Source organism: Homo sapiens, chromosome 7, assembly GCF_000001405.40.
Source record: "Homo sapiens chromosome 7, GRCh38.p14 Primary Assembly".
Classification (NCBI taxonomy): domain Eukaryota; kingdom Metazoa; phylum Chordata; class Mammalia; order Primates; family Hominidae; genus Homo; species Homo sapiens.
The window spans coordinates 149707169-149734879 of record NC_000007.14 but is presented as its reverse complement, the minus strand read 5'-3'; the positions used below and the strand labels follow the sequence as shown (position 1 = coordinate 149734879).

General features: G+C 54.3%; 1 protein-coding gene and 1 non-coding gene across 37 annotated transcripts, besides 5 other annotated features; both read right to left on the bottom strand.

Moving 5' to 3' along the window:
• On the bottom strand, positions 305-19929 carry KRABD3 (KRAB domain containing 3). Of its 36 annotated transcripts, none has more exons than NM_001394483.1 (18): positions 19814-19929; positions 19531-19641; positions 15208-15347; positions 14753-14872; positions 13890-14045; positions 13345-13497; positions 12327-12458; positions 11924-12097; positions 10991-11146; positions 10031-10228; positions 9392-9565; positions 8820-8993; positions 6205-6357; positions 5510-5692; positions 4539-4733; positions 4312-4452; positions 3104-3208; positions 305-1674 (listed from the first exon to the last, which is right to left on the bottom strand). In NM_001394483.1, the coding sequence occupies exons 3-18, from the start codon at positions 15239-15241 to the stop codon at positions 833-835; spliced, it is 3090 nt and encodes a 1029-aa protein (NP_001381412.1). In that variant the 5' UTR covers positions 15242-15347; positions 19531-19641; positions 19814-19929; the 3' UTR covers positions 305-832. The 36 variants fall into 36 exon arrangements, 30 of the variants coding, with proteins under 30 accessions (NP_001381412.1, NP_001381420.1, NP_115923.2 ...); NM_001394491.1 differs by having other exon boundaries at positions 14753-14827; positions 15208-15334; XR_007060163.1 differs by having other exon boundaries at positions 4335-4452; positions 13345-13500; positions 15208-15334; positions 19531-19929.
• Positions 13727-14621: an enhancer, noted in NCBI's record as "H3K4me1 hESC enhancer chr7:149417350-149418244 (GRCh37/hg19 assembly coordinates)". NCBI's record gives its function as "activates a minimal SCP1, AML or CMV promoter by ChIP-STARR-seq in naive H9 embryonic stem cells {active_cell/tissue: H9 hESC(naive)}" and the evidence as "EXISTENCE:reporter gene assay evidence [ECO:0000049][PMID:30033119]".
• Positions 19007-19639: an enhancer, noted in NCBI's record as "H3K4me1 hESC enhancer chr7:149412332-149412964 (GRCh37/hg19 assembly coordinates)". NCBI's record gives its function as "activates a minimal SCP1, AML or CMV promoter by ChIP-STARR-seq in primed H9 embryonic stem cells {active_cell/tissue: H9 hESC(primed)}" and the evidence as "EXISTENCE:reporter gene assay evidence [ECO:0000049][PMID:30033119]".
• Positions 19842-20281: a silencer, noted in NCBI's record as "silent region_18764". NCBI's record gives its function as "represses an Ori minimal core promoter by ATAC-STARR-seq in GM12878 lymphoblastoid cells {active_cell/tissue: GM12878}" and the evidence as "EXISTENCE:reporter gene assay evidence [ECO:0000049][PMID:35858748]".
• Positions 20277-20776: an enhancer, noted in NCBI's record as "H3K4me1 hESC enhancer chr7:149411195-149411694 (GRCh37/hg19 assembly coordinates)". NCBI's record gives its function as "activates a minimal SCP1, AML or CMV promoter by ChIP-STARR-seq in primed H9 embryonic stem cells {active_cell/tissue: H9 hESC(primed)}" and the evidence as "EXISTENCE:reporter gene assay evidence [ECO:0000049][PMID:30033119]".
• Positions 21108-21402: a silencer, noted in NCBI's record as "tiled region #9729; HepG2 Repressive non-DNase unmatched - State 23:Low". NCBI's record gives its function as "represses a minimal TATA promoter and a strong SV40 promoter by Sharpr-MPRA in HepG2 cells {active_cell/tissue: HepG2}" and the evidence as "EXISTENCE:reporter gene assay evidence [ECO:0000049][PMID:27701403]".
• On the bottom strand, positions 27140-27211 carry TRC-GCA9-4 (tRNA-Cys (anticodon GCA) 9-4). The gene has a single exon. It is a non-coding gene; the product is annotated as a tRNA-Cys (tRNA).
• Between the last annotated feature and the right edge of the window lie 500 nt (positions 27212-27711).

Below are 27711 nucleotides of genomic sequence, written 5' to 3'. Positions count from 1 at the left end.
GACCGATCCTCCCTCCCAGCCCAAAGCAGGAACTGAACCTGACACCTGGATTGTAGACTTCTGGCCTCCAGGACAGAGACAATATGTGCTGCTGTTGAAGCTGCCCAGGCAGGGTTCCTCTGTGAGGCAGCCCCAGGGGACTCAGAGTGTGCCCCAGGAGTCCTGTGGGAATTGCCCCACCCTTCCTGGCACACTCCTGAATGTTCTCGAGGATGTCTGGGAGACGAGGCAGCGTGCTGGTGGCACAACCAGCCCCGCCCCAGCGTGGGCCCACATGGACCTCCCTTCTATAGGAGTCAGGGCCTTCCTTAGCAACTCACTTCTTTAATTTCAGAATCCACAGAGGTAAGTCCAGCTTAGACCAGGGGGCTGAGTTCTCTCAAATGAAATCTGTGCCAATATTTACTCCAGGAAGGCAAGAGCCCAGCCCTTCAAGGCTCCTGAGATCAGGAACGGCTGGTGGTTAGGAGGCGCTCTCCTGGCCGCTCTAGCTGTGTGGGGCACCCCCTGCATATGTGGGGCACACGTGGCCTATGCACACCACCCACCTACAAGCTTGGGCGGCTCCAGTGGGAAAGACAGGAGAGGGAAGCAACATTTGATTGAATCTGAGCCAAGAGGGCCAGAGGCTGAGGAAGGCACCCCCACAGCAGCCTCCTGAGCAAACAGCACCTGGGGGCTCTACCCAGTTGGGACAAAGGGCGAGGCTCCCAGCAACAGTAAGGGAGATGGCGTCCTCTGGGAGAGGGTGGCCTGGGGTGGGGTGACAGGGCTTCCACGCCACCACTGCACCCTCGGCAAGAACGAGCAGATGTGGAGAAGAGGAATGCCATCAATGCGCCCCCCATCTCGGGTCCCTGTGCTCCCCACCCCACAGTTCTTCCTGGAGGGCCCTCTGCACTCCTCCCAGCAGGCTGCTCGGCTCCTTGGGCCGCTCTGGGATCCCGTCTGGTGCCACTCCTGAGGTCGGCACGTCTGCATCTGCACTGGCTGCAGGAGGAGAGGCTCCCTGCAGGGGTAAGGCAGCAGGCACTAAAGGGGGAAGGGGGCTCTGGTGGCCCCCGGTATGTGCGAGGAGGGGGTGTGCAGGCGGCGCAGCATGGCAGCTGGGTGTAGAGGACAGCAGCTGCTGGGAAGAGCTGCAGTGGAGCCCAGGAGGTTCTGCCGGGGGAGCGTCTGGAGGCAGCGGACGTGCCCGGCGAGCGGTCCCTCTGGAGAGTCCTTGCAGGTCACCAGCCCTGCAGCTCTCTCCCTGGCCACGCAGGATCTTTGGTTTAGGCCTCGTGGGTCCCTTCTGCCTCCAGTAGGGCAGATGTCTGTGACCAGGGCCATGAGCCCAGCGAGGTCCCCGTGGGAGGGTCCACATCCAGGAAGCTTGGCCCATTGGCCCAGGGCCTTGGGGGCGCCTCCCCAGCCGATTCACCTGGGTCCTCATGGTGGCCACTTCCTGAGCCAGGCCTGCCAGCGCTGTGGCGAGCCGATCCAGCTTCTCCGCAAGGGCAGCACCGAGGCTGTGCAGCTCCTGCTGCAGGGGCTTCCCACAGTGGCATGGCGGCTGCAGGGAGGAGGCTGGCAACACAGGAGGCGCAGCTTCCGGAGGGGGCAGCTCCGGAGGGGGAGACTCACTGGGCAGCTCAGGCGGGCCCTGGGGGAGCAGCCTCTCATGGGTCTTGGCTAAAACCAGAGCAAGGACCGGTCAGAGTTCCTGGTTTGTAAGGACCTTTCTCTCCCCAGAGGTCCCATGAACCAAGGGCGCTCAGTACTCTGCCTCCTCCAAGGCCCAGCTTCCAGAAAGGAAGGAAGGTGGGTGAGGCCTGAGAACGCAGATGCCAATGCTTATGGCATGAAAACTGGCTATGTCTCCTGGCTGTTCCCCAAACTGATGGGCAGGATCAACCACAGGTTGGGTTTCCGTGGTAACCAGGCTTTCCTAAACTGCGGTCTTCCCACCTTCTAGGAATCGGTGGGTCTTTGTGTTGTTGATGAGACCAAATGGCACCCTGCCCTAGGAGTCAGTGAGAAGGGTCCAGAGCCCCCGAGACAGCATGAGGCCAAGGCCGTGGGAGCACCAGGAGATGGGCCAGGAGGGCCAGGCAAGCCAAGGGCCTTCTGCGCATTTTTTGTGGGGTGACCCTGGGGCCACTCCAGAACTCAGTGCTCTTCGTTACAGGCAAACCACAAGGGTTCCCACCCCCTTCTGCTTTTACTCTCCCTATTGAGAAGTTACAGATTCATAGGAGTCATAAGCTTTTTGTTTTTTTTAAAAAAAGATCACCTAATCCTTCGCCCTAAATTCCCTTGGAATTGGTCCCAACCCTGGGCAAACCACAGGAAAGGCTTGGCCAGGCACCTGCCATTCCTAACCTGTTCAGCCCCAGGCCGGGCGCAGAGATGGTTTCTTCCCTGTTTCTCTGGGCCCCCAGCTGTGGCTCTGCCCTGCTCTTTTCGGCACCTCCAGGGCTTTAAACCGAGGAAAAAGTGAAGACTGGAGTAGCTAAAGGACCCAACCGCTGTTTGGTCAAGTTCATCAATAAGGATCTCGGCCTGGAGACCCCAGCTAGGACTTCTACAGAGGACAGGCAAGGCTCGGTGGCCCCAGGCAGCTCAGAGCTCACAGCAAAGTGGTGGCGCCTGGACAGAAGCCAACACCCTGAGCCAGTAAGAGAACCTGCCGCAGGCCACACTCAAAGTTCCTGGTGTGGGGCTGTCCCCAAGTGACCCAGGGCACTAGGTGCCAGGCCCCCTGCATGTCTCCACCATGAGTCCGTAGGGGCACGTGTGTGACATGGAGCCAACCCTCTCACAGTGACCATGGCCAGGTCATCCTAGCCTCAGTTTCCTCACCTATTCTCTAAAGTCCCCTCAAGCCCCAAACTTTGATCCTTCACTTCTCAATTTCCACCTCTAAAAGGTGTGTCTGCTTTTATGAAAATCCCAACTGCTTCTGTGATAAAACACTGAAAGGAAATATGCAACCTGAAGTGCATTACAGGTGAGACTTCCTACCCATCACTCAAACACTGACCCTGGAAGGCTGTTTTCCCCAAGCTGGGGCTCTGGGTCCTGGCCCGTGCAGAGGGAATGGGGGAAGCCACCAGTTCACCTGCAACTCTGGGTCTTCCATGTCCAAGCTCCAGGCCTCTGGATGCTTCACTAACCCTGGGCCTTTTCTCCAGCTGAGAAACCGGGCAGGGATCCTGAGCTGTACCTATAGAAAGAGCACAGAGACCTTGGGGCAGGGAGACGATCGTTTGGCCAGAGCCATTCTGACATACCCTAAAACAATATCAAACTCTCAACTTTTAAACAATGATTAAATGAGATAGAAGACGGAAACTTGGCCCATGAGGGAGCCTAATTCTGGTGGCAGGGCCCGCCGCGGTGCGTGTGTGTGTGGTGTTCCTGCCCTGTATGCAGGGGGCTCCGGCAGGAGGAGGCGGCTGGGGAGGCAGCTGGGAAAAAGGACTCTCATCTGCGGGTCCTGCCCCAGTGAGACTTCCAAGGGCGTGCTGGGGCATCCTGTGGTCCACACCCAGCCCACTCTGCCATTTTCCACTAGGCCCACTGCGGAGTGAAGAATGTGGTGCAGCCTGGGTCTACACAGACCAGGGCCAATGCCTGTAAATGGAGCCAGCTGCAGGAGTTGGGGAGAGCTCCCTCCCCTGACCATTTCTGGCCTCTTCCTCCTTCTCCCCTGCTTCTCCCTCCTTCTACCACTGCTTCTCCCTCCTCGTCCTCGTCCTCCAGCACTCCTGAGGGGGCCAGGACAGCAGGTACTCTCTAAACTCTCTTTTCTCCCAGGCAACTGGGACCTGTCTCCTGTCCCATCTGCTTTTTCTGCTAGGAGCAAACAGTGGGTCACAGTGAGATTGAGAAGCAAGGTGGCCTGGGGCAATAGGCAGCATTCTAGCTTTCCTAATGGGACACTCTCCAAGAAGTACCCCCAGCTGGGGAAATCTCACTTTTGAGACTTTTGTTATTGATTGCCAAGTTTTAAAAGCATACGCTATTATTGTATAAATACATCCACATCTGTCTACATGCACACGTGTATATTAGCAAGCGCAAACACCGTGTACGTGGCATCAAGTGAGTGGCTCAGACCTCCCTGCAGCTGCTCACCAGCACCCCCAGCAGCCCCGCCCTCCTTCTCGGACACAGCTCACCTTACAGGGAACTAAAGCACGGCCAATGTGCAGGACTCCCTGGCAAGAGCCAGGCAAAGCGACAGGCAGGACTCAAAGGATCCAGTCTGGACTCCTGGTCCTCTGGGGAACGCATGGGCGCCCCCTCAGGAGACCCCAGGCTCACCTGCACCGAGGCCGCTGCAGTACCTGGGCTCTGTTCTCCTGGGGTCTTCACCAGGGCTGCCGCCACTGCTGCCAGCAGGGGTCCCACCAGGACATGGGGACAGAGGGACAGGAGGCTTACAGCTGGGAAGGCGGTCCCTCTCTAACGTCACAAACAAAGCTGGCATCAGAGTGGTGACTGGCGCCCTGGCACACATCCCGCTATCCTCCCTCTCCGCACAGGCTCACCCTGGGGGAGCGGCTTCCAGAGATCAGGCTCTGGCCTCGGGTCTTCTCCTTCAGAGCCGCTGAAGCTCGAGCTGGAGCCGGGGCTGGGGCTGGGGCTGGGGCCTCCCACGCAGGCGAAGCGCAAGGGCCTTACAGGCAAGATCCCCCTCAGGGCGCTCTCCAGGCAGTGCAGCGGGGAGGGCTTGGGGGCAGACCCTGGGCAGGGGACCAGAGAGTGCTCTGTCATCAGCCTGAAGAGAGCCAGGTCTCTGCCTTAGTGTCTGGGCACACAGAACCGGTCCCCTTTTCAGCTCAGCCCACGATCAGCATGCGTTCTAGTGGACCCTAAATGGCTGCCTCTCTTGCCAGAGAAAGAGGACAAAAGTGAAGCCAGAGCCTGGCCAGGACCCCAGCAGCTTTGGAAAGTCTGCTGGGGAACTTTCTGGAAGTCTCCAGTCCTTGGAAGCCATTAGCAGTCAGGTTCTAGCCAGGCCTAGGTCTCACAGGCCAGGCGGCTTCTCCCACCAGGCAGGTGCCATCCCTGCACCCCAGTATCTCACAGGGGCCAGCAGCCCAAGGGTGGGGCTCAGTTAGGGCCCATCCTCGTCTGATGGGAGGGTCAGCAAAACCGCATTTATTCAGCAAAGGCATCCCAGCAGGCCCTGCAGCAGATCTAGGAAGGAATTCTGCTGGAAGTTAAACCAAGCAGCAGCAGTGGACGGCGGGAGCCCCCTCAAGAAGCTTCTCCACTGGAGAAACCCAATGGATGGACACAAACAATGATCTTCCCGACCCCGCTCCTTGTCAGCACTTTGTGACACTTTATCTTCTTGTTTAGCGAACCTCAGTTTCTGTTTGGCACCAGCTTCTGTCCTCTGGGGAAAGGATGAGAGATGGGGAAGAAACAGAGGGACAGAGAGGGAAGTCTATTTCCTTGTCAAACACTTTAACTGAAGTGGGGCTGTCAGTACCGAGGGCAGGTGCCAGCTCACCCTCTGGGAGCCACCTCCACACTCCTGGCCTGGTGGCCCCAGGGTCTTTGAACCCCCGCTGGTGGCAGGCGGGGACGCAGCTGGAGGTGAACACCTGTGGGCTGACCAGATGGAGGCTCCGGGTGGGCGCTTCTCCCCTACCCTGCCCGAGACGGGCTGACTCGCAGGCCTCAGCCCTCAGTCCTGTTTTAATGAGAAATCAGAAGGCCTGTCAGCCCCACGGGGCCTCGTGCTGCCACAGAAGAAGGGACAGGGAACAGTTTCTGCCATTGCTGGGCTCTCAGGCACACCAGCATCAGGTGTGGGAAACACCCATCTGTCATGTTCCAGGGAGCGCCTGAACCCTCCAGAACATCTCTATTCCCAGACCCAGCTGCGTGGACCCCTGGGCTTGGAGACTGGTGCCCAGACACCAAGGCTCGTGGGGCTGGCACGGCCGGGACAAGGACACCCAGCCACAAGGAGCCAGCTCCAGCTGGGATGGTGGAACCGCAGACAGTGGCACTAAGGTGCCAGCAGGTCTACACGTGTGTGCTGCAGACTATCTGGCTTTCTGGCCTCCAACAAGGCTCTGCCCAGGTCTGTTTCCAGAGCACCATGTTGGCTCAGGAGCAGATCTGAGCCCACAGGTGCAGCGCCTAGGGCATCCTCAGAGCAGCCCTGTCTACACCCAGGGCCCCGGCAGCCACTATTACCTTCCTTGTCTGCTGTCCAGTTCCTGGGCTCTGCTCTCCTCGGTCCCCTGTCTGCTGCTGAGGAGCAGGGCCAGGCAGGCCGCAGCACAGGCACAGGTATCTCCTTGAGACAATTCTCCAGACCCTGCAGTGGGGAGCTTCCTGGTGGGCTTCCTGTGAAGATCAAACATTCACAGATGAGGGGGACTGTAGCTCAATCTCTGCAAACTGCAGAAGCCCCCTGTCTTCTGCTGTGTCCAGGGAAGGGGGGTCACAGGGGTGCTGGGCACAGAGCACTGGACGTGTCAGTCCTGGCTCTGGCGCGGCCCTGCTTTGGCTGCCGTGGAAGAAGCCTGGCCTGTCCTGGCCACCCACATAGAAGCCTGGCCTGCGGCTGTCATGAGGGCGTTGGCCACAGGTGTGGGCTCTAGTCCTCCTCAGCACACCCAGCTGCCACCACCGTGAGGGATGACACATCCTGTGTCCCCAGCACAGGGGATGGTCCCACAGATGGAATGTGCTAAGACTTCCTTCACCACTCACAGCAGGGCAACAACACAGGCCCCCTGGCCTCTGGGCCATGGCGGGCCAACATGCATGCAATTTCAACTAGGAAAGAACTAAACACACTGCAAACATCCTATTTCCAGTGACAGCTGTGCGAGTAACAGGAACTAGATGGACTGAAACTCTAGAGTGAGGAGAGCCCTTCCTAATAAAGCAGACAGTGCTGCCACTCTCTTTCCCGACAGCATTTGCTGACGACTCTGGGCCCAGGCACAGGGCGGGAGGGCAACCTCAGAACTTCTGAATGTCCACAGGCTGGAAGGGCAGAGACCAGCCCTTCCAGACCAGGAAGGGCTGGAAACCAGAGGACCCCCACATGCATTTTCTCCACAGCACGTTCGCTGAGTTCTGGGGCAACAGAGGGAGCCGGGAGTTGGCTGGAAGCTTCTGACAGGCAGTGTGAAATATCCTGCAGTTTGGGTTACTTAGTAAACAAAGTCTGCCCAGGCAGAACACATGAAGCATGCTACCGAATACCACGCTGCTGTCCAAAAGAAGAAACTGGTGCTAGTGGCCAAGGAACATGAAAAGTATAGAAAGGGGTCAAAGACAAATGCTGACGACAAAGGCAGCCTGGAGGGGGCATGTATAGATGCTGCCCTCTGTGTGAGGAGGAGGAGGGGAGTGAACTCACAGCAGTGGCAGGAGGGGCTGGAGTGCCGAAGGCTTCATTTTCCCTACATAACCTTTTATAGCTTTTGAACAAAGCTATGTGATCATATTACCTATGAAGTCAGTTGCACTATAGGGGAAAAGCCCCACACCCAAGCGGCTAACCCATAGTGGGGCTTGGGAATTCAGGCTGCTGTGGACACTGGCAGGCCCCAGGCCTGTTCTACAGGCCCCACAGGCCTGGCCAGAGCTGTGGCTGCTGTGAGAGGCCTGTTCAGTAAATACATTGGCAGTCAGGACACAGGTGAGCACGGAGGGAGTGGTGTCGGCAGGACAACACAGACCAAGAGGACTCGGATTAACCAGGTGGGGGAAATAAAAAGGCCAAGAGGGGATGCTGGAGTCCTGCAAGATCCCCAAGTCTGCAGGAGCAACTCGACTGGAGTGAGCCGGGGAGGCACAGGTCACCAAGCACACGCTGAAATGTTTCTGACATGAACCTCACTGTATGTTTTCCTAAGTTGGGGGTCAGTTTGATATTACAGGCAATTCTTTGTGGCTGGGGTAAGGAATTCAATGCAAAAAGGAAATTTTTATGTATTTATTTTTGAGATGGGGGTCTCACTCTGTCACCCATGCTGGAGTGCAGTGGTGTGAACATAGCTCACTGCAGCCTCAAACGCTGGGGCTCAAGTGATCCCCTGCCTCAGCCTCCTGAGTAGCTGGACTACAGACTACAGGTGCTACTCCACCCAGATAATTTTTTAAATCTTCTGTACAGGCTGGGCGCGGTGGCTCATCCCCATAATCCCAGCACTTTGGGAGGCTGAGGCGGGCAGATTGCCTGTGGTCAGGAGTTCGAGACCAGCCTGGCCAACATGGCGAAACTTCTTCTCTACTAAAAACACAAAGATTAGCTGGGCACGGTGGCGGACACCTATAACCCCAGCTACTCGGGAGACTGTGGCAGGAGAATCGCTTGAACCCAGGAGGTGGAGGTTGCAGTGAGCCGAGATTGTGCCACTGCACTCCAGCCTAGGCAACAGGAGTTAGACTCGTCTCAAAAAAAAAAAAAAAAAATTCTGTATAGACGGAGTCTTACTATGTTGCCCAGGCTGGTCTCAAACTCCTGGCCTCAACTGATCTTCCTGCCTCAGCCTCCCAAAGTGCTGGGAGTACAGGCGTGAGCCACTGTGCCCAGCCCAAAAAGATTTTAAAAGAAATCTTAGACATTGTCCTGTCCCTTCTAAGACAAGTCACTAAAACGGAGCCCCCTCTCCACCCTAGGCTCCCACAACCCACCCAAGATAAGTCCCGCATCTGCTCCTGCCTCAGTATCCCTGGCTCTGCTCCCAGCACGGGCATGGGGGTCTGACCCAGTCAAGCCAGAGGGACTGGGCAAGGGGCCTTGAGTCCTCTCCCAGGATGAACCCCAGCCTCGGGCTGGCCCAGCTCACCTTTTCCAGGATGCTGCCCCTGGTTCCCCACAGGACTCCCAAAATCCAGGTCCCAGTCGGTGCTGCTGGATGAGGAGAAGCTGGTGGGGGTTCCTCGGGGGGCCAGGGGCCTGCTGGGGCCATCTCTCACACAGCTCTGCAGACCCAGAGGCAGAACAGGCTCTCTGGTCGCTTCTGTAGGGAACAGCACAGTTGTGGTCACCAGGAGGCTCACTGGAGAAGAGACTCCTGGGCCATGGGGTGCACGGGCACCAGAAGACCCTGCCCCAAAGTATCTCCCACTAGGGTTTCCCTGTGGCACTGATTCAACTCCCATAGCACGTGACCCACAGAAACCCCACAGTGAGTCTCGTGACTGGAGAGAGTTCTGAGAGAAGGAAGTAGGGCAGGAAGATCTGCACTGGCTTTCAGCACATGCGGGCGGCTGTTTGGGAGTGAGTATGAAAGGCAGCCTGGGGGAACGGGCCTGTGTCTCAGGAGGCCGGGGAACACAATGACCCGACAGTCCTCAGCATCTGCCTCCGCTGCCACGCTCAGGGACATGCCACCCCGCGCCCATGGCCACAATCTACCTTCACTGTGTGATCTGTGGGGTTGCAGTTCAGGCTTCTGAGACCTAGAGTCTCCTGGCTGGGGGTTCTGGGAACAAGAAGTGGGTGGCAGCTGGGAAGGTGACGACCCATTTGGGGGAATGCCCTTCAGACAGGCTTCCAGGGCTTCCAGCGGTGAGCTTGAGGCACTGGCAGCTGGAACAGGAGAGAGCACCCTGTTACCATCTCCCACACATTCCAGCCTTGCCCATCAGACCCCTGGCTGGCTCTACCCGACGTGCTTTCTACAGGGGTGACGAGTCCTGTACCAGGCTCTGGCACCTGCCAGGCAGGAAACCCTTCTGTGGGAGACTGATCGGCTCTCGCCCCCCACCCTGCTCCCTGGAAGGCATGAAGACAGGAGGGGAGTGAGGAGGGCCACATGTCAGCAGGGGTAGCTTTCAGGGCCAGGAATCACTGCAAAACGAAGGCCCCGAGGCAGCGGGGGCTTGGACAAAGGCCTGGGCTGAGGAGGCTGTGGATGAAGGGATTCACTGCTTGGGAAGAAAGGCCAGGGGGCGGCTCCCTGCTGAGAGCTGCTTCCCTGGGGTTAGTGGAACCTTGCCAGGGACTGACAAGCCCATGGGGAAGACCACCAGAGCAGCCAATCTCAGGCCTCACCTTGAGCCTCAGGGCCCCAGCTGGGTTGGGGGACCCCTCTGGTGTCTCCAGTGGCTGAGGGACTGAGGGGCTGCCTGCCAGGCTGACAGGATGCAGGTCCTGGGGGGCTCTGGACCCAGCTGTTCTCCATCTTCACAGAGAGCAGACCGCCAGCTCCAAGATCAGGATGGGGAGGAGGGGTCAGGAGGTATCCAGGCCCTGCGGGAGGAGGCCATTGGGAAGCCCAAGGTTCAGGCCTGGACTCACCCTGAGAATCCCTTGAGGCCTTTATAGGGTTAGGAGGGGCTTCCAAAGCCCCTGTGCCTCCACGGCAGTCACCGGCTCAGACTGCTGTCACTTGTCAATCACCAGCAGAGACCTGAGTCACACGCCTCCTCCCCTACCATGGCCCCTTGGGGTGCCTCCAAGGTTTCTACCAGGCATGAAGTCAGCCCTCCCCAGACAGCACCAATCATGTCTTTCTCCATGGCCAGCACACCTGACTCAACCCAGCTGCTCAGGGCTTTGTTCTGAGAAGCTAACAAGCTGAGGTGACATGCACGGAACACGAACCCCTGTGTGGGCTGGGTGGGTATAATTAGGATTTGGGGTTCCCAGCTCTCACACACATGGCAGAAACCTGACCCAAACACACAGGACCCCAAGCCACAATGAGGAGCTGCGTGTGTGCTGGGCTAGAGCTCCATCCTCTATTTCTTGATCTCGCTCCCTCCCCACTTTCCTTTCAGAATGTCCAGCTCCTCCTCTAAGAGCCAGCCTGAGAATTATCAAGCGCTGACCGAGCCCCTCCCACACAGCTCGCTCCACTTACACAGTGGGGATCCCCCGCATCCGGATCCTCTTCCCGACAGGCCAATATGGGGGCCTGAGTGTTTGTGGTGGGGGCCACCTACAGCCCTGCCTGGGGCAGGGTAATGTAGGATGTCTGGGGGCCCTCCCAGCCCAGCGAGAAGCCTTTACCTCCAGAACCCCTTTTCCAGGCTCCTGGATTCTCCTGTAGCCGTCGGTTCCCCACTCCTGAGGGACTGGGATGCCTGTCCTGGGCCTCGGGGAGCTCCTTCAGACAGTGTAGCAGACCCTGGAGGGGACAATCCCCTGAAACCGCCTCGGTCTTCACTAAGGAAAAAGGAACATGTTTTCACCTGGAGCTCAGTGTCCTCAGCCTTCATGACAAACAACAAACAGGGGACAAGTTAGAAGGGCGTGGGGCCAACTCTGAAGATGAGGCTCTTCCAGTGGCTCGCTGAGTCTTCCCAGTGCCTGGGTCCACACACCTGCCAGAACCGGACAGGGCAAAGAGGGAAGCCATGGAATTCGCCCTGCAGGCAGACAAGTGGCATCACTCTGAGGACAAATTGAAGGAAGTGGGCTGTCAGGGTCACTGTTTGAGACAGCTCTGGGGTCCTGAACAGAACTTACATTTGAGGAAAATGGAGTTGTACAGTAAGTACATTACTGCAGCTAAGCTCACTGCGGCCCTGTGAGTGGGAACAGCCTAGGCTCAAGGCATCAGGAGCCTCTCCGGGTCTGACTCCAAGACCTGTGCCCCGGCCCCTCCACCATGCTGTCCAGAGCCCAAGCCCACCCCATGCATCATGCCTGGCGTCAATGCAAAGCAACACATGAGCTCTGCAGCTCTTCCCCTCGGGTCCCAAGTCAGGAGGAGGAAGAGACATGAAGAAACCAGGGCAAAGCCTGCTTCCGAGTTTCCTTTTCCCAGCTGACCAAACGCTGCCCTTAAGAGAGCCACCTGGCTCCAGAAAGGTGACACTGGCAACACAGCAGCGACCAAGCTGGTAACGATCCCTAAGGGAGACAGTTTGGAGCAGGAGGAATCGCTGTTGAAATGCAAACCAAGCTTCAGAGACCTCAGCCTGAGGCCCCAGAACTCACCTGCCCAGGGCGGGCTCCCAGGCCCCAGGTCTGCTCTGGTTAGCCTGGACGTGCCCAGGCTAGGGAGAGGTGGCAAGAAGCTTGGGGATGTCTCGGGGTGCCGGGGCCCAGGCACAAGGATTTCCTTCAGACAGTTGATGAGGCCTTGCAAGGGGCTGTTCCCAGGAGAAATTCCTGTGGCACATGCAAGGTGGGCCTGGGTCAGTGCAGTCCTGACGGGACACCGGGAGCGCTGGCAGGCATTCAGGTCTCCGGGCGGCTGAGATTCCCACCCGTGAGAATGCAGACAAGGCCTGCCCGGTGGAGCTGCCACCAGGCCCAGGCGGCGGAGCAGCATGACCTCCTCGTGTGAACTAAACACACTTCCCCATCGCTACCCCACTAAGGAAAGCCCGCCTCTCACCGGCCTCTGAGGTCCCTCTCTCCTGTCCTCTGTGGCTCTTCCTCCTGCTGGGGCTATGGGTGGGAGGGCTGGGCTCCCCGCCCAGGGCTCCTGGGCCTTCCTTCCTTGTAGGCCACGGTTTGTCGGCAGTTTCTGTTGCAGGAGAAGACAAGAGGGCCTTTCTAGCCCCAGCTCCAGACTCTGGAAAATCACACCAGATCTGGTTCCCATAGAGGACAGCCCTCTCCAGCCACCCAAGTCCCTGTTCGAGGTGGGCTGAGGGCCTTTACCGTTTCTTTCTGGTTTAACTGGAAACAGCAAGACTGTTGGTTCACTGTGAACACTCCCAGACCCTTCCCCCTGAGCCCAGCCTCGGAATTTGGCTCAGGAAGTGATGCCGGCAGCCTTGACATGTAGGCCACAATCTCACACTCACGCTTCTCAAACCAGGGCACACACAGGGCACACAGAACCCCAGAGCAAGTGTGCCCGACGACCCCTGAACACCAGATGAAACCACAGCTAAATGGGGTATGCTCTTTGGGAGTGCCAATTTTATTCCATATAAATTTGAAGTACTTTTTTATAAAAACAGACATGCAAAATTTGTGAGAAGTTTTAAAAATAAAATGAGACCCCAGAGAAATCCTAGGAGCTCCCCTTGCCCTGCTCTGCAGTTAGGGTTGCTGTGATGAGACGGTCTAAGGATCAGACCAGTGCACACAGGTAGGTCAATGCTGCTGGCCGTGGGCCTGCATGTTAGAAACTGCCGGAGACTTTCTGTGTACAAAGTGCTCAGTGATCGGGGCGGGATGACAGGCTCCCCAGGGGCTGAGCATCATGCCTCCTCTTTGGTGGTTACACCAGAGGCTAAATATGTTGTCCTGCTCCCTGGCGTACTTTGTTAACAAAAGAACAGCACAACAGGGGAACTGAGTCCTAGAAAAAAATGAAGAGGGCACAGGGTCCAGGTCCTCTGACGCCACGATCAGGGCTTTTGAAATGCTGGTTCTCCCTGTCCCTGCTGTGTCAGACTCACTGATGGGGAGAGGACTTCCCTGGACCCCGTCACCAGTTGGGCCACTGGAACACGAGCTGTCGGTGGGCGTGGTGGCCAGGTGGGGCTGGCTGGTAGGGCCGTCTGGAAGGCAGCTGAGCAGGCCTCGGAGAGGGCAGGGCTCTCTTGCCGCAGCTGCTGTCGGGAAAGAGGGAGAATCAACAACTGGTAAGATGCCCCTAACATTGTCACACTGTCACATTCTGGGTCCTTTCCTTGCCATGTACTAACAATGACCAGGATGTCAGCCACCTATGTGTTGTCATCACTGGGCTCTGAATGGGGCCATGGTGGGTGGAGGGTGACAAAGCCACACAGAAACCACCATGCGAAAGTCAGAGCTGCCCTCTCGCCAGCTATGGGCATGTGCTCAGAGGGCGGCACACGGCCTAGCCACGAGGAACAGCAGGTGACTCTGCCTCCCGGCCTGTGCCTGCAAGCCCACATGCAGTGCAGTGCCGTGGACTTGTGCTTCATCATGCGGAGTGCAGAGGAGGCTGCGTGCACTGCCCCACTGTCTGACTTACCCTCGGGGCTCGCTCTCTCTCCATCCAGGCTGGCTCCCCGGCTCTCGCTCTCGGGGCTGTCCATAGCGCCCTTGACTTCTCCAAACAAGAACTCTGGGATCTCCTTCACCAGCTGCACCAGGGCTGTGAGGTGCAGGCTGTGCCGGGGCTGTCCCCCTGCAGAGAGGCCACAGTGACCCCCCCGCACCCCTGCGGCTGCTCAGCACTCACACCTACGTGCGTGTTTTCACACCCAGCATCTCACGTAATCCTCCCAGCCACATGAGGAGCAGCCAGAGGAGACACCATGTCCCATGAGATATAGAGGACCTGGGCTCAGGCCAGGCGCTCTGGCCAAGGGACAGCCAGGGCATGGGGGCGGGGCCTGGGTAACAGGGCTCCTCTGTTCTACGTTACTCATTAATCTCCATGCCTCCCAGGGGAATGCCCAGGCGGGCTGCCGCTACACTTCTTCCACCATCTGGGCCCTCTGCCTTTCCTGGCACCCCCTAAATGCCTGGCCTTGCCCAGTCTGGGCCGGTGGAGCACATCCACCATCTGAGGTCTTGGGATGTAAGCCTCGTGGCAGGACTTTTGGGAGCTGGAGCAGGTTCTGCAGGGGTGGCTGTGATAAGGCTTCAGGGTGGTGGTGGGTGGGGGGCCTGAGGCAGGAGGTACTCTCCAGGGTGACCCCAGGCTTTCTCTGAGTGCTTCTCTGCATAACAGGCTTCCAGCCCAGAGGGATGAGGGGTGAAAGCTTGGGAGGTTGCAGTAGGGGAGGCAGGGAGGTGAGAGGCTGGACTGAGTAGGCTGAGGTCACGCATTGCCTGGGGCTGAGGACCGATGAGTGGGAGGAGACACCCAAAGTCTGACAGATAACTTACCCTGGGGATCTCCACAACCAGCAGGCTCCTGCCCCTCATCAGCGTGGCTCCCTCCCCCAACAGCTCTTCCAGGCTCTGAGGGTGACAGGAAAGCAGAGAGGGGGAGCAGCTCAGCTGTCCCTGGGAAAGAAGAGGGAACTGTGGCCCTGGGAATGGAGTGGTCTCCGCTTCGCACACAGTTGCATAGCAGCCCAGGCCCCTGCAGGTCTGTGCACATTCATGTGACCACTTAAACTCAAAGAACCGCAGAGTGGTCGGAACCTCAGAGGCCGCCGCATACCCCCACCGAATTGTACCTAGAACCCGGTCCCGGGACATAGAATAGCAGCAGCGTGAACGATCCCCGTGTTCATTTCTCAGGTGGAAAGACTAAGGCTGCCGGGTCCAGGGACTCCGGCCTCCCTTCCACCGCCCACCAGGCTCCTGCCACACGTGCTGCTCCCTCCCGTCCTTACCCACAGAGACCAGCGTCTCGTAGTTCTCCCGCATCACGTCTCGGTAGAACTCCCTCTGCCCCTCCTCCAGGAGCCGCCACTCCTCCTCCGAGAACCGCACGGCCAAGTCCTTGAAGGTGATGGACACCTGCAGGCACAGTCTCCGGGGGGGTTGGTTGTTCCATCCCAGAGGGGACAGCCTAGCTGTCCCTGCACTTGGTAACCCCACCTAGGCCTCCAGGCGCACACTCCAGGATAATAGCCAGGGTCTGACATGCAGGAATCCCCTCAAGAGACAGTGCTGGGGGTGAGCTGTGTCTCTGCAGAGACACGCTGAAGTCCTAACCCTCACGCCTGTAAGTAGGACCTTATTTAGAAACAGAGTCCCTGCAGATGGAATTACTTAAGATGAGGTCATACTCCTAAGTAGGGGGGACCCTTAGTCCAGTATGACTCATTCCTTATCAGAAGAGACACAGAGACAGACACAAAAGAAGAAAGCTGTGTGAAGACAGGCAGAGACTACAGTCATGCAGCCACAAGCCAAGGAATGCCCAGGGCCACCAGAAGCCACAAGAGGCAAGAAGGATCCTGGCCCAGAGCCTTCAGAGGGAGTGTGGCCTGCCCACACTGTGACGTAGGGCTTCGGGTCTGCAGGGCTGTGAGAGAAGACATTCTTGCTGTCCACCTAGTTTGTGTGCTGGGTTTAGAGAAGTGCTCAGAAGAAACCTGGGGTTGCCCTTGGAAGCTTTGGGTCACCAGGCTCCTTTACACCCTGTACTCCTATCTCCTATTCTCTGTACTCATCTCCTCCTACCCTGTGGCTTTTTAAAATAACACGAGCATTTTTGTCTATGTTTCTTTACAAAATAATCCTTCGGCTGGGTGTGGTGGCTCACGCCTGTAATCCCAGCACTTCGGGGGGCCAAGGCAGACAGATCACCTGAGATCAGGAGTTCGAGACCAGGCTGGCCAATATGGTGAAACCTTGTCTCTACTAAAAATGCAAAAATTAGGTGTGGTGGTGGGCGCCTGTAATCTCAGCTACTCAGGAGGCTGAGGCAGGAGAATTGCTTGACCTCGGAAGGCAGAGGTTGCAGTGAGCCGAGATCACGCCATTGCACTCCAGTCTGGGCAATATGGCGAGACTCCATCTCAAAAAAAAAAAAAAAAAAAAAAAGTCCTTCAGTGGACTTTAAAGTGGCCATCAGACACTAGAAAATGACCAGCATCAATAGGCTTGAATTTAAAATTATGGCAAAAATTAACTGTGCAAATTAAGCAAACAGAAGGTAAATTATGGGAAGGGTCCTTCCTGTTGAGAAATGAATGTTAAACTGTTTATTTGTGAGAACAAATTATTAAAGAAAATGAACACGCCCCTAATAAAGCAAAGACAATTCACCGCTTGTTTCATCTGCTCAGGGCAGTTATTTTAATTAATTAATTAAAAAAGACAGGACCTTACTATGTTGCCCAGGCCAGTCTTGAACTCCTGGGCTCAAGTGGTTCTCCCACATTGGTCTCCCAAAGTGCTAGGATTACAGGCGTGAGCCCCTGCACCCACCCAAGTCAGTGATTCTAAAAACTGTCCCAGGCTGGGTGTGATGGTTCACGCCTGTAATCCCAGCACTTTGGGAGGCCCAGGTGGGTGGATCACCTGAGGTCAGGAGTTCAAGACCAGCCTGGCCAACATGGTGAAACCCCATCTCTAATAAAATACAAAAATTAGCCAGGCATGGTGGTGGGTGTCTGTAATCACAGCTACTTGGGAGGCTGAGGCAGGAGAACCTGGAAGGCAGAATTTGCAGTGTGCCAAGGTCACAACATTGTACTCCAGCCCCTGTTTCAAGAAAAACAAAAAACTGTCCCTGCCACTAACCGGCAGCCTTGTTGTCCACTTACTGCCGGGCTCTCTGCCTGTTCTCCCTGAACAGCTGATAACTTGTCCCATGCAGTCACACTTACCAGTGCTCCCCTCTGGCCAGGCTGCATCTACACCCCTGGCAAGGGGCAGCCCCTCCCGTGACTGCCTGCCTGAGGCCCGGAGGCCCAGAGGCTGATGGGCAGTGAGATGCTGCAGCCTTTGCCTCCTGCCTCGATGTGCAGACTCTCCCTGAGCAAACCTCTGTGGCTCTGGCCCAGGTATGGTCACTCCCTCTCAGGAACAGTCTCAGACACCCTCCAAAACTTCTCTCAAAGAGTTATTTACATTTCTTCCTAGCATCTTGGAACAGAGAAAATGTAGCCAACATCAGGGTCTATGCAGAAGAGCGTGCAGAGCAGCCCTAGACCGCTGTCCTTAGGAAGGCCTGCTTGCCAGGAGGGCTCAGGCTGGCTTCCAGGTATTTAGGTGTCAGGAGGCTTCCCACCATTCCCTAAATGATGGGAGTGGCTCAAGGTGCCTAGGCTGAGCAAATGACGTGGTGTGTGCCACACCCCTGCTTTCCTTCTGGGAGTCTGGAATTTTGGTTCATGGCAGGCAGAGGGTTCCCACATGACATTCTGATGGCTCAACACAGAGCTGGCAAGGCAGGTCTGAGCTCTAGGTAAGAACATGATACCAGCTATGTTGGTTGCACTGGTACCACTGCTGACCTGATGTGGCCATTAAGAGGTTCCGGACCCAGAGACCGGGGCAGAGCACGGTGACTGGGGCCTAGCCTCAGGAGCCAGGCTGCCAGAATTCCAATCCCTGCCTTGTTTCATACTAGTTATGAGACCTCAGCCAAACCTAACCTATTTGGGCCTCAGTGAACTCATCTGTAATACTGGGATCATAACAACCTACCTCATAGAGGTATTGTGAAGACAAAACAAATACAGGAATAGTGCCTAGAACAAATGCGGGGACTATGAATATTAAGTGCTATGATTAGTAATACTGCAGCCAGACCTGTCTGCCTAATGCCCGCTTGCAGGTCTGAGCCTGCCAGCTGAGCTCTTCCACATACTGCTCCTGACCACCGGTGTCTCTCTCGCTCCAGACTAAATATATCCCAGCTCTTCCAGGAATCTGTAAGAGATGCTTTCCAGGCCTCTCACCATCTCAGCCTCAAGACAAACTGTTTTGTGATAAAATTCTTAGAAAATGAGAATGGGAACTGACTGTGGCCAGGGTAGGCGCTTCTGCCAGTGGCCTCCCTCTCCCCAGAAAAAGCAAAGAGTGAGGGTTTTGTGTGTGAGGGAGTGAGCAAGTGTGAGTGTGCAAACACCTGGGCTACAAAACTCATCTTCGGGAGGAGGAAGGCCACCACTGGCTGGCTCTGCCCACACACCACCGGCCTTCCTCCTCGGGCCCCACTTCACCTCCTTCCCCCAACCAATGGAGAAAAGCTTTCTGGGCTGACCCAGGACTCTTGTAACTGGGCAGCCTCCTAGCTCATAGCTGCACACTGGTCCTCCTAACATCACCCTTCCACCGTGTCACTAGCCCAGCACAAAAACTGCAGCTTCAGTGCCTGCTGGACCTGCCCCTCTCTCACAGTCCTTCCCAACCTAGACCTGCTCTCCCAGTGGGCCTCAGGCTCGGGCTCCCTGATCAGACCCTGCCACAGGACCTCTCAACCTGGAGGCTGTGCTCACATTGCCCTGGGCTTCTGGGAACCCTCCCTGCTCCTCTCCACCTTACAGTGACCTACCACTCCCCAAGGTCACTCCTGGCCACCTTCTCCATGAAGCTACGTAGTGTGAGGATATTCCCCTCATCAGATCTGAAAGGTCAATGGCCCAAACTCCTCACTTTACAGAACAGGAAACTGTGGTATGAGGAGGCCTTAGGATGGGGCCATGGGCATGTCTGAACCAGGGTGTCCCTAGGCTACTTAACTGTGCAGCCAGACCTGAAAAGGACACTTGACTGTCCCTGCCCAACAACATCCAATTTGCCTAGCCTCTCCCTTCTCCCCAAATGCTTGGGGGCACTAATGACGCCAAGGGCCTGGCACAGTGTTTGCTCTGCCTAGTCACACGCTGCCCCCCATCCATGGCTGCCTCGGACTGGCCAAAGCTCAGGAGCCACCACGGTTGCAGAACTGGCTCCAGGTGCCCATCCAGAAGAACGTGGAGCAGTTGCTGGTATCAGCACCAGATACCTGATACCTCACTGATATCAGCACCAGAGTTTCCCAGCATCGTCACAGCCCACACACAACCTAGCCCAAACGGTGCCCAGGCTGTCACGGCCTGGGGCTCTCCCTCCAGTTCTCAGATCTAAACGCCTTACCTGCAGGCTTCCCAAGACAAAACTTGGGGTTTGTTCTATCTTTGTTTCTCCCCATTTCCACGTCCCCAGCCCCCGGGATCCAGGATTCCACCAAGAACAGAAGTATGAGATTTACTCACTGCCTCCGAGGCCTTCATGCCCACTCTACCAGGATAACTTGTAACGAAACAAGCCACGCCAAGGGGGTTTCCCCAGGTGGAGACTGGGCCGTGGGTACCGGCGGCGGAGAGCTGGAGAGAGGTTGTCCGAGGACCTGAACTTCCCGGCACGAACCCCTGAGCATCAGGCCTGCCCAGCCTCACCCAGCCGATCCCGAAGTTGCGGGGGGGTCCCAGCTCTTTCTCGCCCTACCGCCTTCGGGGCCGCACTGCGCCGAGGGGTCCGCGCGTCCGCCTGCCTTACCTGGCGCGCCATCCCCGGGCTCAGCCTCCCCGCCACTCCTCGGTTTCCGGCGCGGGCCCTGGCGCGGGCGCACGCGACCCTCGTCGGCGGCGGCCCAGGTCCGCGCAGGAGAAGGCGGGGCCGGGGGCCTGGGCCGAGGGGGAGGGGCGGGGGTGGGCGCGCCCGGGCCCGCCCCCGGCCTCGTTGAGCCCGCCCCGAGCGCCTCGCATCCCTTGGTGGGTGGTGCCGTTTCCGCCCGGAGCCCCCGGCTTCGGCGGCCCGGCCGGCCGGCGCAGACGCGGACTACACTTCCCAGAAGGCGCCGCGGCGCCGGCTCGGAAGCGGGGGGCGGAGACAGGGCGGGGCGGACCTGGCTCGGGCCTCGTCCCCGCCCCCTCCCCTCGTCCCCGCCCCCAGCTGCGGGTAGAGGTTGCGCGCCGAGACCAGCCGGGGCGGCTGTGGGCGTGCAAGCCCGCGGGTACGCGCCGCTTATCACTCATTCATTCCCGCAGCCACCACTCAGCGCGTCCCATGTGCCAGGGGCTGATGGTGGGGATGAAGAGGGACCCATCTTTCCCAGAGGCCGCGGTCGGGGAAACCCGACCTGGAGTGAAAGGGGTCGAGGGTCCGGCCGGGCGTGGGTGGGACAGAGCAGCTGCCAGGCCCCCGTACATCCTCACGTCTTTCGCCCGCGCCCCCGCTCGCCGCAGCCATGACCTACCTTCGTGTCACATTTTGCGTGCCTGTTTGCTGGGGTGGTAACCCCAGTTGTTCCTGGCACATAGTAGGCCTCAAATAAACGTGTGATGCGGGAAGGAAGCGCGGCCCACTCTCCTCTGCCTCCCCCTGCGCTTCACGAGTTCGAAGGCCTGGTCTGGGCGGGCGCTGCGAGAGCGCTCCGGGGGTGCGGGCGAGGCGCAGCGAGCCTGGTTTTCCTGTCTGGAGAAGGACCCCGTCATTTTTATAGAAGGCTGCTGGAAGGGGGCCTGCGGGGCTAAGCCTGCTGTGCCAGACAGAAGCTTGGAGGGGAAGGGGAGGCTGTGGTCCCACGCAGAGGAGACTCTGCTCTGAGTTTGGAAGCCCCGTCCAGACCTTGCGGCCCAGACAGCGCTCTGCCTGGGCAATATCGGAGGGAAGGAAAGGGAATTCCTCGCCCAGTCGCCCGGGGCTGGCCCTTGCAGCCGCGCCGGCCATGATCACGGACTCGGGTACGATGCCGACAACCCCTCGTCCCGGCCTCCGAGGAAAGGCGCACGCCCACTCGGGCAAAGCCCCCTCGGTCATACCCGAGACACCTTAGACACAGGACCGGCGTGTGCGCAGCCTGCTGAACAAGGATTTGAAGATATCACAAGGCCCCACCTCGCGGAAAGGGAAAACTTAAAAGTCCAACTTTTCAAGAGCCCTACAGGCCACAGCCCTCAGGGTAAGTCGCCTCCTGGGCTTTAGGCCGGGTCCCACCTCCGTGCCGAGGTGAGGCGGGCTCCTTACAGTAATGTGTTCCTGCTCCCAGCTCCTCTCCACCGCCCACCCTCCGGCCCGGGATCCCTAAACGTTAAAACCCCCTAAATCAGGGGTCCCCAACCTTTTGGGCCAGAGCCCGGTTTTGTGGAAGGGAATTTTTGCATGGACTGGGAGGGGGGTTGTTTTGGGATGAAACTGTTCCAACTCAGATCACCAGGCATTAGATTCTCCTAAGGAGCCCGCAACCTGGATCCCGCATTCACAACAGGGTTCTGGCTCCTATGAGAATCCAGCACCTGCAGATCTGACAGGAGGCAGAGCTCAGGGGTAATGCGAGCAAGGGGGAGTGGCTGTAACTACAGATAAAGCTTTCCCTGGCTTGCCCGCAGCTCACCTCCTGCTGCACTGCCCAGCTCCTAACAGGCCAGGACTGGTACTGGTCCATAGCCCAGGGACTGGGGACCCCTGCCTTAAACTTAAACACCTGTAGAAAGAAATCTCTATCCAAGTAAGATGCACCTTTGTTTTAAGCTGTGCAGATTCTTGGCACCTCTTTGACTCAAACGTCCACTTCCTGGCTAGGCTTCCTGCCCCATTTGTGGACCATCAGTCGCTAAAAGCAGTTCACCAACATGAAATTTGCTGCATGGCCAATTATTTAAATTATGGAGACACTTCCTGGCACCCCTATCCCCCAAATTTTAGTTGCGCCTTTGACCCTGTAGACCTGTATTTACCTCAGCCCGTGTGTGTGCGTTAAAAAATAGTTGTGAAGACCTGTCCTGAACCAGGTTTATTGGATGGCTCTGGACACAGACAAAGGCAGGAGTGGAGCTGAAACACATCTTTAAAAATTCCTTGGCTGGGGCCAGGCACGGTGGCTCACACCTGTAATCCCAGCACTTTGGGAGGCCAAGGCTGGTGAATTGCTTGGGCCTGGGAGTTCCAAACCAGCCTAGGCAACATGATGAAACCCCATCTCTACAAAAAATGCAAAAATTAGCCAGGTGCAGTGGTGTACCCCTGTAGTCCCAGCTGCTTGGAAGGCTGAGGTGGGAGAATCTCTTGAGCCCAGGAGGCAGAGGGGGGTTGCAGTGAGCCAAGATCACACCACAGCACTCCAGCCTGGGTGACAGAGCAAGACCCTGTCTCAAAAAAAAAAAAAAAAAATTTCAATAATTCAGATTGGTTGTTTAGCAAGTTGATATTCAGTGGTTTAGCTTTTACCATATTTGGCTTTTGGCTATCTGGTCATTCTGTGAATTGACTTTTGGTGAACTAGTCGGCACTTTTCCCAAATGAATCTAAAGGCAAATTGTGCTGGCCAGTCCTCCATGTGAAAATGGCTGCAACTTTAAAATATTTTCTGATTTTCATTATTATTTCTTTTTCCATCCATGAGATTATTTAAAAGTACTTTTTAATTTCCAAATACGAATCTTTTTATGAGTTATTTTGTTTTTGAGTTTTGCCTTATAGTCAGAGAATGTAGTAAGTGATGTTGATTTTTTAGAATTTTCTGAGACTGCTTTGTGGCCAAGTGTGCAATAGATGTTTGAAAATGTTCCATGTTTGCCTAAAAGAGTACATATATTCTAATATTGGTGTAGGATCTAGTTAGAGCTGTAAAATCAAGCTTATCAATCATGTGGTTTATGCCTTCTATAGTTTATCATCTTTTTGCATTTGGAACTATCAGTTACTAAAGAGGTGTTAAAATCTCATATCAAGTTTGTGCATTTGTCAATTTCTCCCTGAATTTGTGAGAATTTTCGCTTCATGTGTTTGGAGGCTGTGTGCTTACAAATTTAGAATTGTAGTATTTTCCTGGAGAATTGTTCATTCTATTATTAGAAAGTAACACTATCCCTAATAATAGTCTTTGTCTATAATCCATTTTGTTTGATATTGCTGCAGCTACACTAACTTTATTTTGGCAAGTATTTCTTTGATATATCTTTTCCTGTCCTTTTACTTTCAAACTTTGTGTATATTTATGTTTCAGATGTGTGTCATATAAGAGCATGTAGCTAGATTTTGTTGTTGCTGCTGAATCCAGTCTGACAATCTCTATCATAATCATGAATCTACTGATTTGAAAGTTATGCTTTCCTTTTTTATTCATTTGGGGGTTACTCTGTAATTTTACACACATATTTGGTTTAATAGAATCTAATATTACTACTTCTGATCTTCTCGCAAATGATAGAAAGCTTTTTGAATATGAGTTTAATCACACTCTTCCCCTTCTGTCTTGTGTGTAATTATTGTTCTTTTTAGTTACATCTTGTTTTTAAGACTCTCTCCTGATATTTGAAGTCATTGTTTTTGTTTTATACAATCTATGCTGTTTAGATTTACCAATGTGCTTACCACTATCTTTGTTCACTCTTTTTTCTTGCCTCTTTCTTCTTCCTTCTGGGTTCAATGTTCTTCCTGAAGCAGAACTTTTAAAATTTATTTCAGCAAGGATATTTTAGAAGTGGATACTTTCAGTTATATAAAATGTCTTACATTTTTCTCACTCCTGAATGATACTTTAGCCAGGGAGAGAACTGTTTCACACTTCTAATATTTTATTCCATTGTCTCCTGACTTTCATTGTTGCTATTGAAAAGTCTGCTGTCAGTCTAATTATTCCTTTGCATATGATTTAACTTCTCTGGCTTCATTTAAAATCATCTGTTTGGCCGGGCATGGTGGCTCACACCTGTAATCCCAGCATTTTGGGAGGCTGAAGCGGGAGGATCACCTGAGGTCAGGAGTTTGAGACCAGCCTGACCAACCTGGAGAAACCCCGACTCTACTAAAAATACAAAAAAAATTAGCCAGGCATGGTGGTGCATGCTTGTAATACCAGCTACTCGGAGGCTAAGGCAGGAGAATCACTTGAATCCAGGAGGCAGAGGTTGCAGTGAGCAGAGATCGTACCATTGCACTCTAGCCTGGGCAACAAGAGCAAAACTCCATCTAAAAAAAAAAAAAAATCTCTTTATCTGTGGTATCATGAAGTTTCACTGCAATGTGGCTAGGTATGGATCTTTTATTTATCTTTCTTGGAACTCGTGAGTCCTAAATCTGAGGTGTCACATCTTTGTACAAGTCTGGAAAATTCTCAGCTATTATATCTTTTAATATTGCCTCTTCCCAAGCTGGGCATGGTGGCTCATACCTGGAATCCCAGCACTTTGGGAGGCCGAGGCAAGTGGATCACGAGGTGAGGAGTTCGAGACCAGCCTGGCCAACATGGTGAAACCCCGTCTCTACTAAAAATACAAAATTTTAAAAATTAGCTGGGTGTGGTGGTGGGTGCCTGTAGTCCCAGCTACTCAGGAGGCTGAGGCAGGAGAATGGCATGAACCCAGGAGGCGGAGCTTGCAGTGAGCTGAGATCGTGTCACTGCACGACAGCCTGGGCAACAGAGACTCCGTCTAAAAAAAAAAAAAATTTAGGCCAGGTGTGGTGTCTCCCGCCTGTAATCCCAGCACTTTGGGAGGCCACAGTGGGCAGATCATCTGAGGTCAGGAGTTTGAGACCAGCCTGGCTAATATGGTGAAACCCTGCTTCTACTGAAATACAAAAAATTAGCCAGGCATGGTGACACACACCTGTAATCCCAGCTTCTCAGGAGGCTGAGGCAGGAGAGTTGCTTGAACCCAGGAAGCAGAGGTTGCAGTGAGCTGAGATCACGCCACTGCACTCCAGCCTGGGCAACAGAGCGAGACTCTGTCTCAAAAAATAAATAAATAATAATAAAATAAATATTGCCTCTTCCCCATTACACTTTCTTCTTGTGGAATTTGTATTTGACCTTTGTTGGACCCCTTTATTCTGCACCATCTCTTTTAGCTAGATATTTTTCATTTTTTTAGGCCTTTGTGCTTCATTCTTAGTGATTTTTAAAAGATTTACATTCTTTCATTCCTAAATCTCTCTTTAGTTTTGTCTAATGTGTGTTTAATCTGTTAATTAAATGATCAATTTTAGTGACTGCACTTTTCGTTTTAGATGTATCTGCTTTATCTTTAAAAAAAAAAAGCATAGGTGTCCACGCTTTCAATTCCTCATGTCTTAAAGATTTTTAAGTATCCTTACTTTATAGTATCTATCTGGTAACTCTATGGCCTGACTTTATGACTTTATTTTGTTTGGTGGCTCTCACTCATAATAGGCTGGTTCCTTGTATATTTTATTACTTTGAATTGTGAGGCCGTCTTAAGCCAGGCTTTATCAGTAGGAATCCTGTGCAGCCTGGCTTGAGGGTATGTCCTTCATGGTTTGTGTTTGCTTCTTTTGGATACTCTAGAATCATTGTCAGCCTGAGTACTTTTTTTTTTTTTGAGACGAAGTTTCACTCTTGTTGCCCGGGCTGGAGCACAATGGCGCAATCTCGGCTCACTGCAACCTCCGCCTCCCGGGTTCAAGCGATTCTCCTGCCTCAGCCTCCTGAGTAGCTGGGATTACAGGCGCCCGCCACCACACCTGGCTAATTTTTCTATATTTAGTAGAGACGGGGTTTCACCATGTTGACCAGGCTAGTCTTGAACTTCTGACCTCAGGTGATCCACCCACCTCAGCCTCCCGAAGTCCTGGGATTACAGGTGTGAGCCACCAGGGGATACTCTAGAATCATTGTTAGCCTGAGTACTTTGTATGTTAACTTTCAGGTTGAGGAATTTCTGAACCATGTAGGTGGTGTAAATTCAAAGCCATAACAAGTGTGAGGATAGATGTATGGTTATGGATTCTCAGGGGTGATGCCCTCTGCCTCCCTAGGAAGAGAAAGATGTCTTGTGTTCTTATGCTAGTGGATGCTTTTTTTTTTTTTCCTATGCTTTTACTAATATTATGGCTCTCTAAGAGTTTGACTTGGTACAAGAGAAGGGAGACTCAGGTCTTAGGCCAAATCTCCTGTACCCAAATGGCTGTGAAAACTGAAGCACCTTGGCTAGCTCACCACAACCACCACAGGCATTCCCAGGATCAGCTCATATTACCTCTCAGGGTCTTAGTTCATCCCCAACTGCCACCCCGGAGATATCCTTTACTGTTATGAGAGCTCAGCTATATATAAGAATATATATTTACTATATCTTGTCTTTCATTTCTGGGTGTTTTGAGGTAGGAGGCGTTTTAGATTATCTAGTTGAGAATGTTAATGGTAATAGAACATTTCATTTAAAAATAGCGCCCCTTCTTTTTTTTGTTCAGCTGTCCTTGTCGTTGTTTGGATCATTTCTTCATCGGACTATTTTGCTTACCACAGACAGTTCTTGCTTATCTCTGTCTTTCCTGTGTCTGGCATTGAGAAGGAATCAGATGACGAATGAATGAATGATTCCATGGATGAATGGGTGAGTGAGAACCACTGCCCTCATGTCAGTAGGCATCGCGAAGATAGAGCACGGCCAGAGAGCCCAGGCCTCTGTCGGGAAGGTGGATTGGGGCAGTGTTATGCTTGAGCTAGCTTGCAGCAGACAGCCATTTGTTAGCACACCTTCCCAACTCCATGTTCATCATCTCATATTTGTAGCTTGAAATTTGCCATGGTGGGATTATTTTTCACTCTGTGAAACTGGAAAACACTACAAATCACCCCCTTCAGAGCTGGTCGTTAAACATTTACCTGCACTTCACTGACTTGGGGTCATGAAAACGTGTAGAAAAAGTGAAACAAAACCAGGCAAGGTAGAACAAAGCCTTTGGTAAGTGAAATAAAAAGTCCAAGTTGAAGGAATTTATCAGTCTGAGACAGTGACAGGGTTTAAAGTTGCTACTGGCTTTTTCACAGATTTAGGGAGGCTCAGTATCCTGAGATTTAGGATTGGAGAAGGGTGCTGAATCTTCAACACCAGCTCCAGAGGGTAAAAATAAGAACACAGCAGGGGGCACCTGGATTTGAACCAGGGACCTCTTGATCTGCAGTCAAATGCTCTACCCCTGAGCTATACCCCCTGATGGAAGTGTAAGCCTAAGCAAGACCTTTTAACTGTGCAGTCATGCCCAACATTCCTATAAAATTTTACCACAGATGCTCATTCCAGCTGGGCCTCCTCAAAGCTGCCAAACCTCCCTAACTGCAATTTTATCTCCCTGATGCAAAACAAGTGACAGTTCCTCTTCCTGTAGCAGCTTCCTTGTACTTTCAGGAAGAGGACTGACACCGGCATTTATAGCTGGAAGGGCCTTCAGAGTCACTCATCTGTGCCCTTCGTAGTGCACGTTTGACAACAGAGATTCAACATTAATGTTCTTCCCAGGCACACACACTCCTTATTGACAGATTCAGTCTACTCTTTCTGACTTTGGGTTCAGGACCCTGTTACTAAAAGAGACTCTCTTATCTTCTCTTGTCCTTGTCTTCTATTGGCTCAAAATGGTAAAGACTTTATAGACAGAGCCATATGAATAGATTTATATACATCCAAGACCATGGAGGGGGCTAGAATATGGAC

Excerpts from the sequence above, each read along its gene's own strand:
- KRABD3 (NM_001394491.1), bottom strand. Across the intron at positions 13,498-13,889 it reads AGAGAGAGCGAGCCCCGAGG|CTGCGGCAAGAGAGCCCTGC; the intron begins GTAAGTCAGACA and ends TCCCGACAGCAG. Across the intron at positions 4,734-5,509 it reads GTGGAGGTGGCTCCCAGAGG|GGTCTGCCCCCAAGCCCTCC; the intron begins GTGAGCTGGCAC and ends TCCCCTGCCCAG.